Source organism: Homo sapiens, chromosome 1 (assembly GCF_000001405.40).
Source record: "Homo sapiens chromosome 1, GRCh38.p14 Primary Assembly".
NCBI classification, from domain to species: Eukaryota; Metazoa; Chordata; class Mammalia; order Primates; family Hominidae; genus Homo; species Homo sapiens.
This window is the reverse complement of record NC_000001.11, coordinates 112,808,299-112,824,247: the sequence shown is the minus strand read 5'-3', so window position 1 is coordinate 112,824,247 and position 15,949 is coordinate 112,808,299. Positions and strand designations below refer to the sequence as shown.

Sequence of the window (15,949 nt, the reverse complement as noted above, 5' to 3'; positions counted from 1 at the left end):
TCAGAAGGCCATCTTATTCTCAATATGCATTTTATTTTATCACCCAATCTGCTCCCGACATTAAATAAAGCTCCAAAAATTAAATTCTGGCCCTCAAGCCCCACAACAGGACTTAGTTAACCTTGCCTTCAAGGTGTACAATAATAGAGTAGAGGCAGCCAAGTAGCAATGTATTTCTGAGTTGCAATTCTTTGCCTCCACTGTGAGACAAACCCCAGCCACATCTCCAGCACACAAGAAATCCAAACACCTGGATGAGGTTCTGGATGAACCGCAGCTGCCAGGGGTTCATCCAGAACCTCCTTCCCCAGGAGCTTGCTATGAGTGCTAGAAATCTGGCCACTGGGCCAAGGAATTCCTGCAGCCTGGGATTCCTCCTAAGCCATGTCCCATCTGTGCAGGATCCCACTGAAAATTGGACTGTTCAATTTACCTGGCAGCCACTCTCAGAGCCCCTGGAACTCTGGCTCAAGGCTCTCTTACTCCTTCCCAGATCTTCTCAGCTTAGCGGCTGAAGACTGATGCTGCCAGATGACTTTGGAAGCCCCCTGGACCATCACAGATGCCCAGCTTTGGATAACTCTTACAGTGGAGGGTAAGTCCGTCCTCTTCTTAATCAATACAGAGGCTACCCAACTCCACATTACCTTCTTTCAAGGGCCTGTTTCCCTTGACTCCATAACTGTTGTGGGTATTGATGGCCAGGTTTCTTTTTTTTTTTTTTTTTTTTTTTTGAGATGGAGTCTGGCTCTGTCGCCCAGGCTGGAATGCAGTGGTGCAATCTCGGCTCGCTGCAAGCTCCACCTCCGGGGTTCACGCCATTCTCCTGCCTCAGCCTCCCGAGTAGCTGGGACTACAGGCCCCCGCCACTACGCCCAGCTAATTTTTTATATTTTTAGTAGAGACGGGGTTTCACCGTGTTAGCCAGGATGGTCTCAATCTCCTGACCTCGTGATCCACCCGCCTCGGCCTCCCAAAGTGCTGGGATTACAGGCATGAGCCACCGTGCCCGGCCGATGGCCAGGTTTCTAAACCTCTTAAAACTCCCCAACTCTGGTGCCAACTTGGACAATATTCTTTTATGCACTCCTTTTTAGTTATCCTCACCTGCCCAGCTCCCTTATTAGGTCGAGACATTTTAACTAAATTATCTGCTTCCCTGACTATTCCTAGGCCACAGCCACACCTCATTGCTGCCCTTTTCCCCAGTTCAAAGCCTCCTTCACATCCTCCCCTTGTATCTCCCCACCTCAATCCACAGGTATGGGACACCTCTACTCCCTCCTTGGCAACTGATCATGCACCCCTTACCATCCCATTGAAACCTAATCACCCTTACCCCACTCAATGCCAATATCCCATCCCACAGCACGTGTTAAAAGGATTAAAGCCTGTTATCACTCACCTGTTACAGCACGGCCTTTTAAAGCCTGTAAACTCTCCTTACAATTTCCCCATTTTACCTGTCCTAAAACTGGACAAGCCTTACAGTTTAGTTCAGGATCTGAGTCTTATCAACCAAAACCAAATTGTTTTGCCTATCCACCCCGTGGTGCCAAACCCATATACTCTCCTATCCTCAATACCTCCCTCTACAACCCATTATTCTGTTCTAGATAAACCTAGCTGACCCCATAGATCCTATATCCTTTCCCTACTTTCCTTTCCATTCCTTAAAAAACAGCTCCCACACTAGCTCTCCCTAACTCATCACTCCCTTTTCATTACACACAACCGAAGTGCAGGGCTGTGTGGTTGAAATTCTTACACAAGAGCCAGACCGTGCCCTGTAGCCTTTCTGTCCAGACAACTTGACCTTACTGTTTTAGGCTGGCCATCGTGTCTGCATGCAGCGGCTGCCACTGCTTTAATACTTTTAGAGGCCCTAAAAATCACAAACTATGCTCAATTCACTCTCTACAGTTCTCATAACTTCCAAAATCGATTTTCTTCCTCACACCTGATGCATATACTTTCTGCCCCCACCCCACTACCTCTCAGCAAGCCAAACTCATTACCTTAACTCGAGCCCTCACTCTTGCAAAAGGACTACGCGTCAATATTTATACTGACTCTAAATATGCCTTCCATATACTGCACCACCATGCTGTTATATGGGTTGAAAGAAATTTCCTCACTACACAAGGGTCCTCCATCATTAATGCCTCTTTAATAAAAACTCTTCTCAAAGCTGCTCTACTTCCAAAGGAAGCTGGAGTCATTCACTGCAAGGGCCATCAAAAGGCATCAGATCCCCTCACTGAGGACAATTCTTATGCTGATAAGGTAGCTAAAAAAACAGCTAGTGTTCCAACTTCTATCCCTCAGGGCAGTTTTTCTCCTTCTCATCTGGCCACTCCCACCTACTCCCCCACTAAAACTTCCACCTGTCAATCTCTTCCCACACAAGGCAAATGGTTCTCAGACCAAGGGAAATATCTCCTTCCAGCCTCACAGGCCCATTCTATTCTGTCATCATTTCATAACCTCTTCCATGTAGGTTACAAGCCACTAGCCCACCCCTTAGAACCTCTCATTTCCTTTCCATTGTGGAAATCTATCTTCAAGGAAATCACTTCTCAGTGTTCCAGCTGCTATTCTACTACTCCTCAGGGATTGTTCAGGCCCCCTCCCTTCCCTACACATGAAGCTCGGGCCCCCGTCCAGAACTGGCAAATTGACTTTACTCATATGCCCCGAGTCAGGAAACTAAAATACCTCTTGGTCTGGGTAGACACTTTCACTGGATGGGTGGAGGCCTTTCCCACAGGGTATGAGAAAGCCACTGTGGTCATTTCTTCCCTTCTGTCAGACATAATTCCTCGTTTGGCTTTTCCACCTCTATACAGTCCGATAACGGACAGGCCTTTATTAGTCAAATCACCCAAGCAGTTTCTCAGGCTCTTGGTGTTCAGTGAACTAACGGTCTTTTTAAAACACACTTCACCAAGCTCAGCCACCAACTTAAAAAGGACTGGATACTTTTACCACTTTCCCTTCTCAGAATTCGGGCTTGTCCTCAAAATGTTACAGGGTACAGCCCATTTGAGCTCCTGTATAGATGCTCCTTTTATTAGGCCCCAGTCTCATTCCAGACATCAGACCAACTTGGACTGCACCCCAAAAACTTGTCATCCCTACTGTCTTCTGTCTAGTCATACTCCTATTCACCATTATCAACTACTCATAAATGCCCTGCTCTTCTTTACACTGCCGGTTTACACTGTTTCTCCAAGCCATCACAGCTGATATCTCCTGGTGCTATCCCCAAACCGCCACTCTTAACTCTTAAAGTAAATAAATAATCTTTGCTGGCAGGGCTATGCTGAACCCCCTTGAGCACTCTCTAATTGGATGTCCTAGGTCCTCCCAATTCTTAGTCATTTAATACCTGTTTTTCTCCTTCTCTTATTTGGACCTTGTGTCTTCTGTTTAGTTTCTCAATTCATAACAAAACTGTATCCAGGCCATCACCAATCATTCTATATGACAACTGTTTCTTCTCACAACCCCACAATATCACCCCTTACCACAAAATCTTCCTTCAGCTTAATCTCTCCCACTCTAGGTTCCCATGCCACCCCTAATCCCGCTAGAAGCAACCCTGAGAAACATCATCCATTATCTTTCCATACCACCCCCCGAAAAATTTTTACCATCCCAACACTTTACCACTATTTTGTTTTATTTTTCTTATTAATATAAGAAGACAGGAATATCAGGTCTCTGAGCCCAAGCTAAGCCATCATATCCCCTGTGACCTGCATGTATGCATCCAGATGGCCTGAAGTAACTGAAGAATCACAAAAGAAGTGAAAATGGCGCGTGCCTGCCTTAACTGATGACATTACCTTGTGAAATTCCTTCTCCTGGCTCATCCTGGCTCAAAAGCTCCCCCACTGAGCACCTTGTGACCCCCACTCCTGCCTAACAGAGAACAATCCCCTTTGACTGTAATTTCCCACTACCTACCCAAATCCTATAAAACGGCCCCACCCCTATCTCCATTCACTGACTCTTTTTGGACTCAGCCCACCTGCACCCAGGTGAAATAAACAGCCTTGTTGCTCACACAGAACCTGTTTGGTGGTCTCTTCACACGGCGAGTGAAATTTAGTATTGTACCAATGGTAAATTGACAAATGTACCACGTTTATATAAGATTAACAGCAGAGGAGGCCGGGGGCGGTGGCTCATGCCTGTAATCCCAGCACTTTGGGAGGCCGAGATGGGCGGATCACGAGGTCAGGAGATCAAGACCATCCTGGCTAACACAGTGAAACCCTGTCTCTACTAAAAATACGAAAAAAAATTAGCTGGGCGTGGTGGTGGGCACCTGTAGTCCCAGCTACTCGGGAGGCTGAGGCAGGAGAATGGTGTGAACCCGGGAGGCGGAGCTTGCGGTGAGCCGAGATCGCAGCACTGCACTGCAGCCTGGGCGACTGAGTGAGACTCCGTCTCAAAAAAAAAAAAAAAAAAAAAAAAAAGATTAACTGCAGAGGAAGCTGGGTGAAAAGTATACAGGAACTCTCTATACTATCAAACTTTTTTTTAAAATCTGAAATTCCAAGATAAAAAGTAAGAAAATACCCATAACCCTGACTCCTTAGCTGAGCCGTCATCCTGCCAGGGCATCTTCCCCACTGTCAGAAAAGACAGTGCCAGACAGTGTCTTGTAAAGCAATTGCATTACAGCTTAGTGGCTACAGCTGAAGGCTGTACTGGATGGAAGTTCAGGAAACAGAAGAGGCTGAGTCCTGGGTGATCCTGAGGGTAAATAATGGCCAAACCTATCACTGGCTCCCGCAGTTCTGCAGTTTTGTCCCTCGGCTTTGAAATTCACAATGTGATTTTTCTCACTTGTGTATTTCCTTCCTTAATATGCTTTGCTGTCTCAAGAATTAAAAGAGCTTGCATTTTACTCACTTGCTCACTCCAGCTGGGTCCCAGGAGGAAGTGGCCATAAGTCATGAAGAAGTTAGGATTACGTCACATGATAAGCACAAGATAAGCACAACAGGGGAAGACTTGGATGTGCAGGGGGTGGTTTTCCAAGCCAGAAGCTTTATCCAGCTCCTACACTCCTTCCACCCACACAAAAGAGTCATTGTTTTTATTTATATCCACTTCCCCAAGGTTTGTGTGGATTAGATGATAAATTGTATGTAAAAGGGCTTCATACACTGTAAATATGACCAGCATTCATTCATATTCTGGTGCACTGACTATATGTATATACATCATTTTTTGTGTTTTTTTTTTTGAGATGGAGTCTCGCTCTGTCACCCAGGCTGGAGTGTAGTGGCACAATCTCGGCTCACTGCAACCTCCGCCTCCCGGGTTCAAGCAATTCTGCCTCAGCCTCCCGAGTAGCTGGGATTACAAGCATGTGCCACCACGCCTGGTTAATTTTTTTGTACTTTTAGTAGAGACAGGGTTTCACCATGTTGGCCATGCTGGTCTTGTGCTCCTGACCTTGTGATCCACCCGCCTCGACCTCCCAAAGTGCTGGGATTACAGGCGTGAGCCACCGCGCCCGGCCCGACTATATGTATATACATAATATGAGAAAGTTCAGCCGGGCACGGTGACTCATGCTTATAATCCTAGCACTTTGGGAGGCTGAGGCAGGTGGATTGCCTGAGCTCAGGAGTTCGAGACCAGCCTGGGCAACATGGTGAAACCCCATCTTTACTAAAATGCAAAAAAAATAAAAAATAAAAAAATAAAATTAGCTGGGCATGGTGGCGTGCTCCTGTAATCTCAGCTACTCGAGAGGCTGAGACAGGGGAATCGCTTGAACTTGGGAGGCAGAGGTTGTATTGAGCCAAGATTGCACCACTGCACTCCAGCCTGAGCGATAGAGCCGAGACTCCAACTCAAAAAAAAAAAAAAAAAAGATGAAGTTTGCCCTAGGGCGTTTTTCTCTTGCTGTTTTTTATTCTCTGTGCCCTCCTATCCCTCATGCTTTTGTTTGTTTTAAATGAGAAGGGCCTGAGTGCCTTTCTATCTGATTGTAATTCTGAATGCGATTCACACTGGAAGCTATGGAGACATTTGGTAACAACTGTAGACCCAGCCCTAGAAGGTGAATTTTAAGCATTGTCCAGCTTCTCAAATGCTAACGAGGAGCACAGCTGGGAAGACCTGGGCTTGCAGGGGGTAGATTTCTGAGCCAGGAGCTTCAGGGGGTTCCTGCACTCCCTCCACCCCCACACCGGCCCCACCCCATTCCTCCTGCATAGTTCTCAAGTACCAATCCCTGTAGGTCGCCCTGCTTCAGTGTCTCCCCATCAACACCCCCACCTTGCCTTTTTCCTTGCTATAGCTGTGGGTCAGGCCCTCACAGGGCCTCATCAGAATTCCTGAAATCTCCTTCGAAAAGCCTCCCAGCCTCACTTCTCATTTGCCACTTCCAAACCATCAATGCTACTATCACAGTATTGTAGGGAAAAGAAAGAAAGATCAGACTGTCACTGTGTCTATGTAGAAAGGAAAGACATAAGAGACTCCATTTTGAAAAAGACCTGTACTTTAAACAATTGCTTTGCTGAGATGTTGTTAATTTGTAGCTTTGCCCCTGCCACTTTGACCCAACCACTTTGACCGAACTTGGAGCTCACAAAAACATGTGTTGTATAAAATCAAGGTTTAAGGGATCTAGGGCTGTGCAGGACATGCCTTGTTAACAAAATGTTTACAAGCAATATACTTGATAAAGGTCATTGCCATTCTCTAGTCTCAATAAACCAGGGGCACAATGCACTGTGGAAAGCCGCAGGGACCTCTGCCCTTGAAAGCGGGGTATTGTCCAAGGTTTCTCCCCATGTGATAGTCTGAAATATGGCCTCGTGGGATGAGAAAGACCTGACTGTCCCCCAGCCTGACACCCATAAAGGGTCTGTGCTGAGGTGGATTAGTAAAAGAGGAAAGCCTCTTGCAGCTGAGATAGAGGAAGGCCACTGTCTCCTGCCTGCCCCTGGGAACTAAATGTCTTGGTGTAAAACCCGATTGTACATTTGTTCAATTCTGAGATAGGAGAAAAACCGCCCTATGGCGGGAGGTGAGACATGTTTGCAGTAATGCTGCCTTGTTATTCTTTACTCCACTGAGATGTTTGGGTGGAGAGAAACATAAATCTGGCCTACGTGCACGTCCAGGCATAGTACCTTCCCTTGAACTTAATTATGATATAGATTCTTTTGCTCACATGTTTTTTGTTGACCTTCTCCTTATTATCACCCTGCTCTCCTACTACATTCCTTTTTGCTAAAATAATGAAAATAATAATAAAAACTGAGGGAACTCAGAGGCCGGTGCCGATGCAGGTCCTTGGTGTGCTGAACGCCAGTCCCCTGGGCCCACTATTGTTTCTCTATACTTTGTCTCTGTGTCTTATTTCTTTTCTCAGTCTCTCATCCCACCCGACTAAAAATACCCACAGGTGTGGAGGGGCAGGCCACCCCTTCAAGTATAATCATCAAAAGGTTAAAAATGAGCCTCACTTGGCTGGGCGAGGTGGCTCATGCCTGTAATCCCAGCACTTTGGGAGGCCAAGGCGGGTGGATCACCTGAGATCAGGAGTTTGAGACCACCCTGGCCAACATGGTTAAACCTTGTCTCTACTAAAAATACAAAAAATTAGCCCGGGCACGGTGGCTCACACCTGTAATCTCAGCACTTTGGGAGGCTGAGGCAGGCGGATCACCTGAGTTCAGGAGTTCCGAGACCAGCCTGACCAACATGGAGAGACCCCGTCTCTACTAAAAATACAAAATTAGTTGGGCGTAGTGGCACATGCCTGTAATCCCAGCTTCTCGCGAGGCTGAGGGAGGAGAATCACTGCTGTGAGCTGAAATTGCGCCATTGTACTCCAGCCTGGGCAACAGGACCGAAACTCCGCCTAAAAAAGAAAAAGAAAAAGAAAAAAAAATTAGCCAGGCGTGGTGGCACGTGCCTGTAGTCTCAGCTACTAGGGAGGCTGAGGCAGGAGAATTGCTTGAACCCGGGAGGTGGAGGTTGCAGTGAGCCGAGATCACGCCATTGATTGCACTCCAACCTGGGCAACAAAGAGTGAGACTCTGTCTCAAACAACAGTTTATATTACCGTTTTTTTTTTTTGAGATGGATTCTCACTCTGTTGCCCAGGCTGAAGTACAGTGGCTCAATCTCGGCTCACTGCAAACTCTGCCTCCCGGGTTCACGCCATTCTCCTGACTCAGCCTCCCAAGTAGCTGGGACTACAAGCACCTGCCACCACAAGCGGCTAATTTTTTTGTATTTTTAGTGGAGATGGGGTTTCACCGTGTTAGCCAGGATGGTCTCGATCTCCTGACCTCGTGATCTGCCCACCTCGGCCTTCCAAAGTGTTAGGATTACAGGCGTGAGCCACCGCGCCTGGCCTATAATACCATATTTTGACTGTACTTTTCCTATGTTTAGGTATGTTTGGATACACACATATTTATCATTGTGTTAGAGTTACCTACAGTATTCAACATAGTAACATACTGTACATGTTTGTAGCCTAGGTGCAATAAGCCATACCATATAGCCTAGATGTATAGTGGGCTATGCTGTCTAGATTTGTGTTAAATACACTGTGATGTTTGCACGATGACAAAATCGCCTAATGAAGCATTTCTCAGAAGTCTACGCATGCCACAGCACCATACTTTGGTGTATTATGTTGTGAGCCCCGACACCTCCCATCAACCTTAAGGCCTGACTGCAATTGAATTCCTCAATAATGATTAAGCTCTGCAGCTGCAAAAGTGAAGGTGAGGAGGGGAGAAGGGAAAGGCTACTGACAATTTCTCTGCACCCTGGACTTTTCTCCTCTCCCGAGAAGGAAGCCATGGGGAAGCCCATCATGCGCAATGGAGAGAGACTCCCCAGGCACCTGGTTACTTTCACTTGCGTCCACCAAACAGGCTTTGTGTGAGCAACAAGGCTGTTTATTTCACCTGGGTGCAGGCGGGCTGAGTCCAAAAAGAGAGTCAGCGAAGGGAGATAGGGGTGGGGCTATTTTATAGAATTTGGGTAGGTAAAGGAAAATTACAGTCAAAGGGGGTTGTTCTCTGGTGTGCAGGAGTGGGGGGTCACAAGGTAATGTCATCAGTTAAGGCAGGGACTGGCCATTTTCACTTCTTTTGTGGTGGAATGTCATCAGTTAAGGCAGGAACCGGCCATCTGGATGTGTACGTGCAGGTCATAGGGGATATGATGGCTTAGCCTGGGCTCAGAGGCCTGACATTCCTGTCTTCTTATATTAATAAGAAAAATAACATAAAATAGTGTTGAAGTGTTGGGGCAGCAAAAATTTTGGTGGGCGTGGTATGGAGAGATAATCGTCGATGTTTCTCAGGGCTGCTTTGAGCGGGAGTGGGGGTGGCGTGGGAACCTAGAGTGGGAGAGATTAAGCTGAAGGAAGATTTTGTGGTAAGGGGTGATATTGTGGGGTTGTGAGAAGAAACATTGTCATATAGAATGATTGGTGATGGCCTGGATGTGGTTTTGTATGAATTGAAAAACTAAATGGAAGACACAAGGTCCGAATAAGAGAAGGAGAAAAACCGGTATTAAAGGGCTAAGAATTGGGAGGACCCAGGACATCCAATTAGAGAGTGCCCAAGGAGGTTTAGCATAGCCCTGCCAGCAAAGATTATTTATTTACTTTAAGTGGGAGTGGCCTGTAATCCCAGCACTTTGGGAGGCTGAGGCAGGCGGATCACGAGGTCAGGAGATCGAGACCATCCTGGCTAATGCAGTGAAACCCCATCTCTACTAAAAATACAAAAAATTAGCCGGGCGTGGTGGCATGTGCCTGTAGTCCCAGCTACTCGGGAGGCTGAGGCAGGAGAATGGCATGAACCCGGGAGGCAGAGCTTGCAGTGAGCTGAGATCGCGCCACTGCACTCCAGCCTGGGTGACAGAGCGAGACTCTATCTCAAAAAAAAAAAAAAGAGTGGCGCTTTGGGGATAGCACCAGGAGATATCAGCTGTGATGGCTTGGAGAAACAGTGTAAACAGGCACTGTAAACAAGAGCAGGGCATTTATGAGTAGTTGATAATGGTGAATAGGAGTATGACTAGACAGAAGACAGTAGGGATGACAAGTTTTTTGGGGCGCAGTTCAAGTTGGTCTGGTGTCTGGAATGAGACTGGGGCCTAATAAAACGAGAGTCTATTACAGAAGCTCAAATGGGCTGTAACTTGTAGCATTCCGAGGACAGGCCCGAATTCTGAGAAGGGAAAGTGGTAAAAGTATTGTCAAGTCCTTTTTAAGTTTGTAGCTGAGCTTTGTGAGATGTGTTTTAAAAAGACCATCAGTTCACTGAATACCAAGAGCCTGAGAAACTGCTTGGGTGATTTGACTAATAAAGGCCTGTCCATTATCAGACTGTATAGAGGTGGGAAGGCTAAACCGAGGAATTATGTCTGACAGAAGAGAAGAAATGACTGTGGTGACCTTCTCAGACCCTGTGGGAAAGGCCTCTACCCATCCAGTGAAAGTGTCTACCCAGACCAAGAGGTATTTTAGTTTCCTGACTCGGAGCATGTGAGTAAAGTCAATTTGCCAGTCCTGGGAGAGGGCAAATCCCCAAGCTTGATGTGTAGGGAAGCGGGGGGCAGGGGCGGGGGTCCTGAATAATCCCTGAGGAGTAGTAGAATAGCAGCTGGAACACTGAGAAGTGATTTCCTTGAGGATAGATTTCCATGATGGAAAGGAAATGAGAGGTTCTGAGAGGCGGGCTAGCGGCTTGTACTACAGCATAGCCTGCCTTTGCTGGTGAGTGGCGATTAGGCCTGGTGGAACTGCCATCAATAAACCAAGCGTGATCAGGGTGAGGAACAGGAAAGAAGGAAATATGGGGAAATGGGGTGAATGTCAGGTGGATCAGAGTGATACAGTCATGGGGGTCAGGCGTAATATCAGGAATAATGTGGGAAGCCAGATTAAGTCCGGGCCAGGAACAATGGTAATTGTGGGAGACTCAACAAAGAGTGAGTACAGCTGAAGAAGCCAGGGAGCAGAAAGTATACCCATCAGGTGTGAGGAAGAAAATAGATTTTGGAAGTTATGAGAACTGTAGAGAGTGAATTGAGCATAGTATGTGATTTTTACGGCCTCTAAAAGTATTAAAGCAGTGGCAGCCGCTGCACGCAGACATGAGGGCTAGGGTAAAACAGTAAGGTCAAGTTGTTTGGACAGAAAGCTACAGGGCACGGTCCCGGCTCTTGTGTAAGAATTCTGACTGCACTAACCATGCCTAGCAAGGAAAGGAGTTGTTTTGTAGAAGGGATTGAGATTTGGGAGATTAGTCGGACACGATCAGCAGGGAGAACACATGTGTTTTTGTGAGAATTATGCCGAGATAGGTAACAGATGGGGAAGAAATTTGGGCTTGACTGAAGTAATGGGGGGGGGGTGCTCTCTGTGAAGCCTTGAGGCAGTACAGCCCAGGTAATTTGCTGAGTCTGATGGGTGTCAGGGTCAGTCCAAGTGAAAGCAAAGAGAGGCTGGGATGAAGGGTGCAAAGGAATAGTAAAGAAAGCATGTTTGAGATCTGGAACAGAATAATGGGTTGTGGAGGGAGGTATTGAGGATAGGAGAGTATATGGGTTTGGCACCACGGGGTGGATAGGCAAAACAATTTGGTTGATAAGGCGTAGACCCTGAACTAACCTGTAAGACTTGTCCAGTTTTTGGACAGGTAAAATGGGGTAATTGTAAGGAGAGTTTAAAAGGCCGTGCCGTAACAGGCAAGTGATAACAGGCTTTAATCTTTTTAAAGTGGGCTGTGGGATCGGATATTGGCATTGAGTGGGGTAAGGGTGATTAGGTTTTAATGGGATGGTAAGGGGTGCGTAATCGGTCACCAAGGAGGGAGTAAAGGTGTCTTATACCTATGGATTGAGGTGGGGAGATACAAGGGGAGGATGTGAAGGAGGCTTTGAACTGGGGGAAAAGGCGGCAATGAGGTGTGGCTGTAGCCCAGGAATAGTCAGGGAAGCAGGTAATTTAGTTAAAATGTCTCAACCTAATAAGGGAACTGGGCAGGTGAGGATAACTAAAAAGAAGTGCTTAAAATAATATTGTCTAAGTTGGCACCAGAGTTGGGGAGTTTTAAGATGTTTAGAAGCCTGGCATTCAATACCCACAACAGTTATGGAGTCAAGGGAAACAGGCCCTTGAAAAGAAGGTAATATGGAGTGGGTAGCCTCCGTATTGATTAAGAAGGGGACGGACTTCTTAAGTCCATCCTCCACTATGAGAGTTACCTAAAGCTTCTGTGATCATCCTGTAGGCTTCTGAGGTGATCGGTCAGCGTCAGTCTTCAGCCGCTAAGCCGAGAAGATCTGGGAAGGAGTCAGAGAGCCTTGGGCCAGAGTTCCAGGGGCTCTGGGAGTGGCTGCCGGGCAAGTTGGACAGTCCAATTTCCAGTGGGGTCCCGCACAGATGGGACACAGCTTAGGAGGAATTCCGGGCTGTGGGCTTTCCTTGGCCGAGTGGCCAGATTTCCGGCACTTGTAGCAAGCTCCTGGGGGAGGAGGTTCTGGAGGAACCCCTGGCAGCTGCCGTTCGGGCGTTTGGAGTTCTTGTGTGCTGGAGATGTGGCTGGGGTTTGTCTCACAGTGGAGGCAAGGAATTGCAACTCAGAAATACATTGCTACTTAGCTGCCTTTACTCTATTATTACACACCTTGAAGGCGAGGTTAATTAAGTCCTGTCGTGGGGTTTGAGGGCTGGAATTTAATTTTTGGAGTTTTATTTAATGCCGGGAGTGGATTGGGTAATAAAATGTATTTTGAGAATAAGACGGCCTTTTGACCTTTCAGGGTCTAGGGCTGTAAAGCATCTCAGGGTTGCTGCCAAGCGAGCCATGAACTGAGCTGGGTTTTTATATTCGATGAAAAAGAGCCTAAACGCTAACTGATTTGGGATAGATCGGATAAAGAAAAAGGAGCATTATTAACCTTGACTATGCCTTTAGCTCCAGCCAACTTTTTATGAGGAAATTGCTGGGCAGGTGGGGGAGGTCTAGTCGAGGAACGAAACTGTAAGCCGGACCGGGTGTGAGGAGGGGAGGTGATAAAAGGATTATAGGGTGGGGGAGCAGAGGCTAAAGAAGAATTGGGACCTAGCTCAGCCTGGTGAGGAGCAGCCTGGGGAGGAGGGGAGAGGTCAGATGGGTCTGTAGAAAAGAAAGAAAGACTCGGCGACGCTTGGAGTTGGGACTGAGAGCACAGGCGAGAGGGAAAGAAGGAGGATTTCGGATGAGTCGCATTGGGAACAGAGACTAGGGAGAGAACAATGTGTAAAAGAATGCCTGGACGTCAGGCACTTCAGACCATTTGCCCATTTTTTGACAAAAATTATCTAGGTCTCGTAGGATGGAGAAATCAAAAGTGCCATTTTCTGGACATTTAGAACCATTTTCGAGTTTGTATTGGGGCCAAGCAGTGTTGCAGAAGAAAATAAGGCGTTTAAGTTTTAGGTCAGGCGAGAGTTGAAGAGGTTTTAAGTTCTTGAGAACACAGGCTAAGGGAGAAGAAGGGGGAATGGAGGGCGGAAGGTTGCCCATGGTGAAGGAGGTAAGTTTAAAGAGAAGGGTAAAGACACAGAGAAGGGAGGTGGGGAGCAGCCCTGGGCTGCAACATGGGGGAGCAGCCAAAGCAGGAGTCCCCGCAACTGACTTGCCACCAAGGGAATGTGGGTGAATGACCAAGGCAGGCGTCCCCACGGTGATCAGACACCAGTGAAATGTGGGTGAATAATCAGAGAGGTGTCCCTGCAGTGATTAAACACCAAGGGAAGGCTGCCTTCCCGAGTCCGTGACCGGCGCCAGAGTTTTGGGTCCACAGATAAAATGTGTCTCCTTTGTCTCTATCAGAAAATGAAAGGAATTGAAATTAAGAGAAGGGAGAGATTGAAGGGTGGCGCCAAGATTGAAAGGAGAAAGAGATTGAGGGACAGTGAGAGGTTGGAGAAGAGAGTAAAGAGAGGCCGCTTACCCAATTTAAAATTGGTGAGATGTTCCTTGGGTTGATCGGTCTGAGGACCCGAGGTCGTAGGTGGATCTTTCTCACGGAGCAAAGAGCAGGAGGACAGGGGATTGATCTCCCAAGGGAGGTCCCCCAATCCGAGTCACGGCACCAAAATTTCACTCACGTCCGTGTGAAGAGACCACCAAACAGGATTTGTGTGAGCAACAAGGCTGTTTATTTCACCTGGGTGCAGGTGGGCTGAGTCCGAAAGGAGAGTCAGCGAAGGGAGATAGGGGTGGGGCTGTTTTATAGGATTTGGGTAGGTAAAGGAAAATTACAGTCAAAGGGGGTTGTTCTCTGGTGGGCAGGGGCGGGGGGGTCACAAGGTGCTCAGCAGGGGAGCTTTTGAGCCAGGATGAGCCAGGAGAAGGAATTTCACAAGGTAATGTCATCAGCAAAGGCAGGAACAGGCCATTTTCACTTCTTTTGTGGTGGAATGTGATCAGTTAAGGCAGGAACTGGCCATCTGGAAGTGTAAGTGCAGGTCACAGGGGATATGATGGCTTAGCTTGGGCTCAGAGGCCTGACAGTTACCCACTCACACCCTCACTGCCACCACTCACAATCAACCATAACACATGCTACCCTGCAGAGGAGACAGCCTTGACTTGCAGAGGCATGCATTCTCAGGGCTTGAAAACCGGCTCTGTCTCCAGTTGCCAGAGGGACCTCACGCTGACCTTCAAGAAACCTGGAGAGAGGGGCCAGTGTGTGGGCACACAGGACATTCCCTCCCCAGAAGGCCTTTTCTTGGTCTTCATTTCCCATCCCCTAGCCCAGATACGGCAATGTGGGGCGCCCTCGTGTGGGCAGAGAGGCCCTGCAGTCTCTTGGCAGGATCCCGGCTCCCTTTGGGCACCCACTCATCCCTCCTCCAGGCTGCCCACTCCCTGCATGTCAGGGCACCACTCATATTACTTCCAGCTGGCCTCCCTCAAACCTAGATTCTCTTTTTTCTTTTACCTCTCACTGTTTTCATTATTGATTGATTGATTGAGACATAGTCTCTCTGTGACCCAGGCTGGAATACAGTGGTACAATCATAGCTCTCTGTAGCCTGGAACTCCTGGGCTCAAGCAATCCTCCACTTCAGTCTCCTGAGTAGCTGGGACTACAGGTGTGCACCAGCATGCCAGGCTAATATCTTAAAATTTTTAAATTTTTTTTGTAGAGTTAGAGTCTCGCTATGTTGCCCAGGCTGGTCTCAAGTTCCTAGCCTCAAGCAATCTTCTCACCTCGGCCTCCCAAAGTGCTGGGATTACAGGTGTTAAGCCACCACACCCTAGACCCCCACTCATATTTTAAAGTTCAATATTCTATGCATATCAAATAATTATGTATTAATTATTTAATCTTATGTATCAAATTATCCCCAAAATGTCTTGACTTAAAATAGCAAACATCTATTACCTCACACAGTTTCCTAGGGTCAGAAATCCAGGAACAGCTTAGTTGGAAGGTTGTGGCTCAGTGTCTCGTGAGTTTCAGTCAAGATGTTGGTCAGGGCCGGGCGTGGTGGCTCACACCTGTAATCCCAGCACTTTGGAGTCTGAGGCGGGCGGATCACCTGAGGTTGGGAGTTCAAGACCAGCCTGACCAACATGGAGAAACCCCGTCTCTACTAAAAATACAAAATTAGTCAGGCGTGGTGGTGCATGCCTGTAATCCCAGCTACTCGGGAGGCTGAGGCAGGAGAATCACTTGAACCCAGGAGGCAGAGTTTGCAGTGAGCCGAGATCACGCCATTGCACTCCAGCCTGGGCAACAACAGCGAAACTCCATCTCAAAACAAACAAACAAACAAACAAACAAACAAACAAACAAACAAAAAGATGTTGGTCAGGACTGCAGTCATCTGAAGGCTGGGAAGGATTCACTTCCAAGATCACTCACACAG

The 15,949-nt window shown here is 47.4% G+C and overlaps 1 long non-coding RNA gene across 1 annotated transcript in view, besides 5 other annotated features; it reads left to right on the top strand.

Moving 5' to 3' along the window:
- Positions 1-4,079, top strand: part of LINC01356 (long intergenic non-protein coding RNA 1356) — a 30,475-nt gene extending 26,396 nt beyond the window's left edge. Inside the window, exons 6-7 of the long non-coding RNA NR_103746.1 lie at positions 494-595; positions 3,707-4,079. This is a non-coding gene — a long non-coding RNA (long intergenic non-protein coding RNA 1356). The remainder of the gene's footprint in view (positions 1-493; positions 596-3,706) is intronic.
- Positions 2,408-3,137: an enhancer, noted in NCBI's record as "OCT4-NANOG-H3K27ac-H3K4me1 hESC enhancer chr1:113363733-113364462 (GRCh37/hg19 assembly coordinates)". NCBI's record gives its function as "activates a minimal SCP1, AML or CMV promoter by ChIP-STARR-seq in naive H9 embryonic stem cells {active_cell/tissue: H9 hESC(naive)}" and the evidence as "EXISTENCE:reporter gene assay evidence [ECO:0000049][PMID:30033119]".
- Positions 5,332-6,061: an enhancer, noted in NCBI's record as "OCT4-NANOG-H3K27ac-H3K4me1 hESC enhancer chr1:113360809-113361538 (GRCh37/hg19 assembly coordinates)". NCBI's record gives its function as "activates a minimal SCP1, AML or CMV promoter by ChIP-STARR-seq in primed H9 embryonic stem cells {active_cell/tissue: H9 hESC(primed)}" and the evidence as "EXISTENCE:reporter gene assay evidence [ECO:0000049][PMID:30033119]".
- Positions 6,062-6,793: an enhancer, noted in NCBI's record as "OCT4-NANOG-H3K27ac hESC enhancer chr1:113360077-113360808 (GRCh37/hg19 assembly coordinates)". NCBI's record gives its function as "activates a minimal SCP1, AML or CMV promoter by ChIP-STARR-seq in primed H9 embryonic stem cells {active_cell/tissue: H9 hESC(primed)}" and the evidence as "EXISTENCE:reporter gene assay evidence [ECO:0000049][PMID:30033119]".
- Positions 14,574-15,095: an enhancer, noted in NCBI's record as "NANOG-H3K27ac-H3K4me1 hESC enhancer chr1:113351775-113352296 (GRCh37/hg19 assembly coordinates)". NCBI's record gives its function as "activates a minimal SCP1, AML or CMV promoter by ChIP-STARR-seq in naive H9 embryonic stem cells {active_cell/tissue: H9 hESC(naive)}" and the evidence as "EXISTENCE:reporter gene assay evidence [ECO:0000049][PMID:30033119]".
- Positions 14,579-14,858: an enhancer, noted in NCBI's record as "active region_1520". NCBI's record gives its function as "activates an Ori minimal core promoter by ATAC-STARR-seq in GM12878 lymphoblastoid cells {active_cell/tissue: GM12878}" and the evidence as "EXISTENCE:reporter gene assay evidence [ECO:0000049][PMID:35858748]".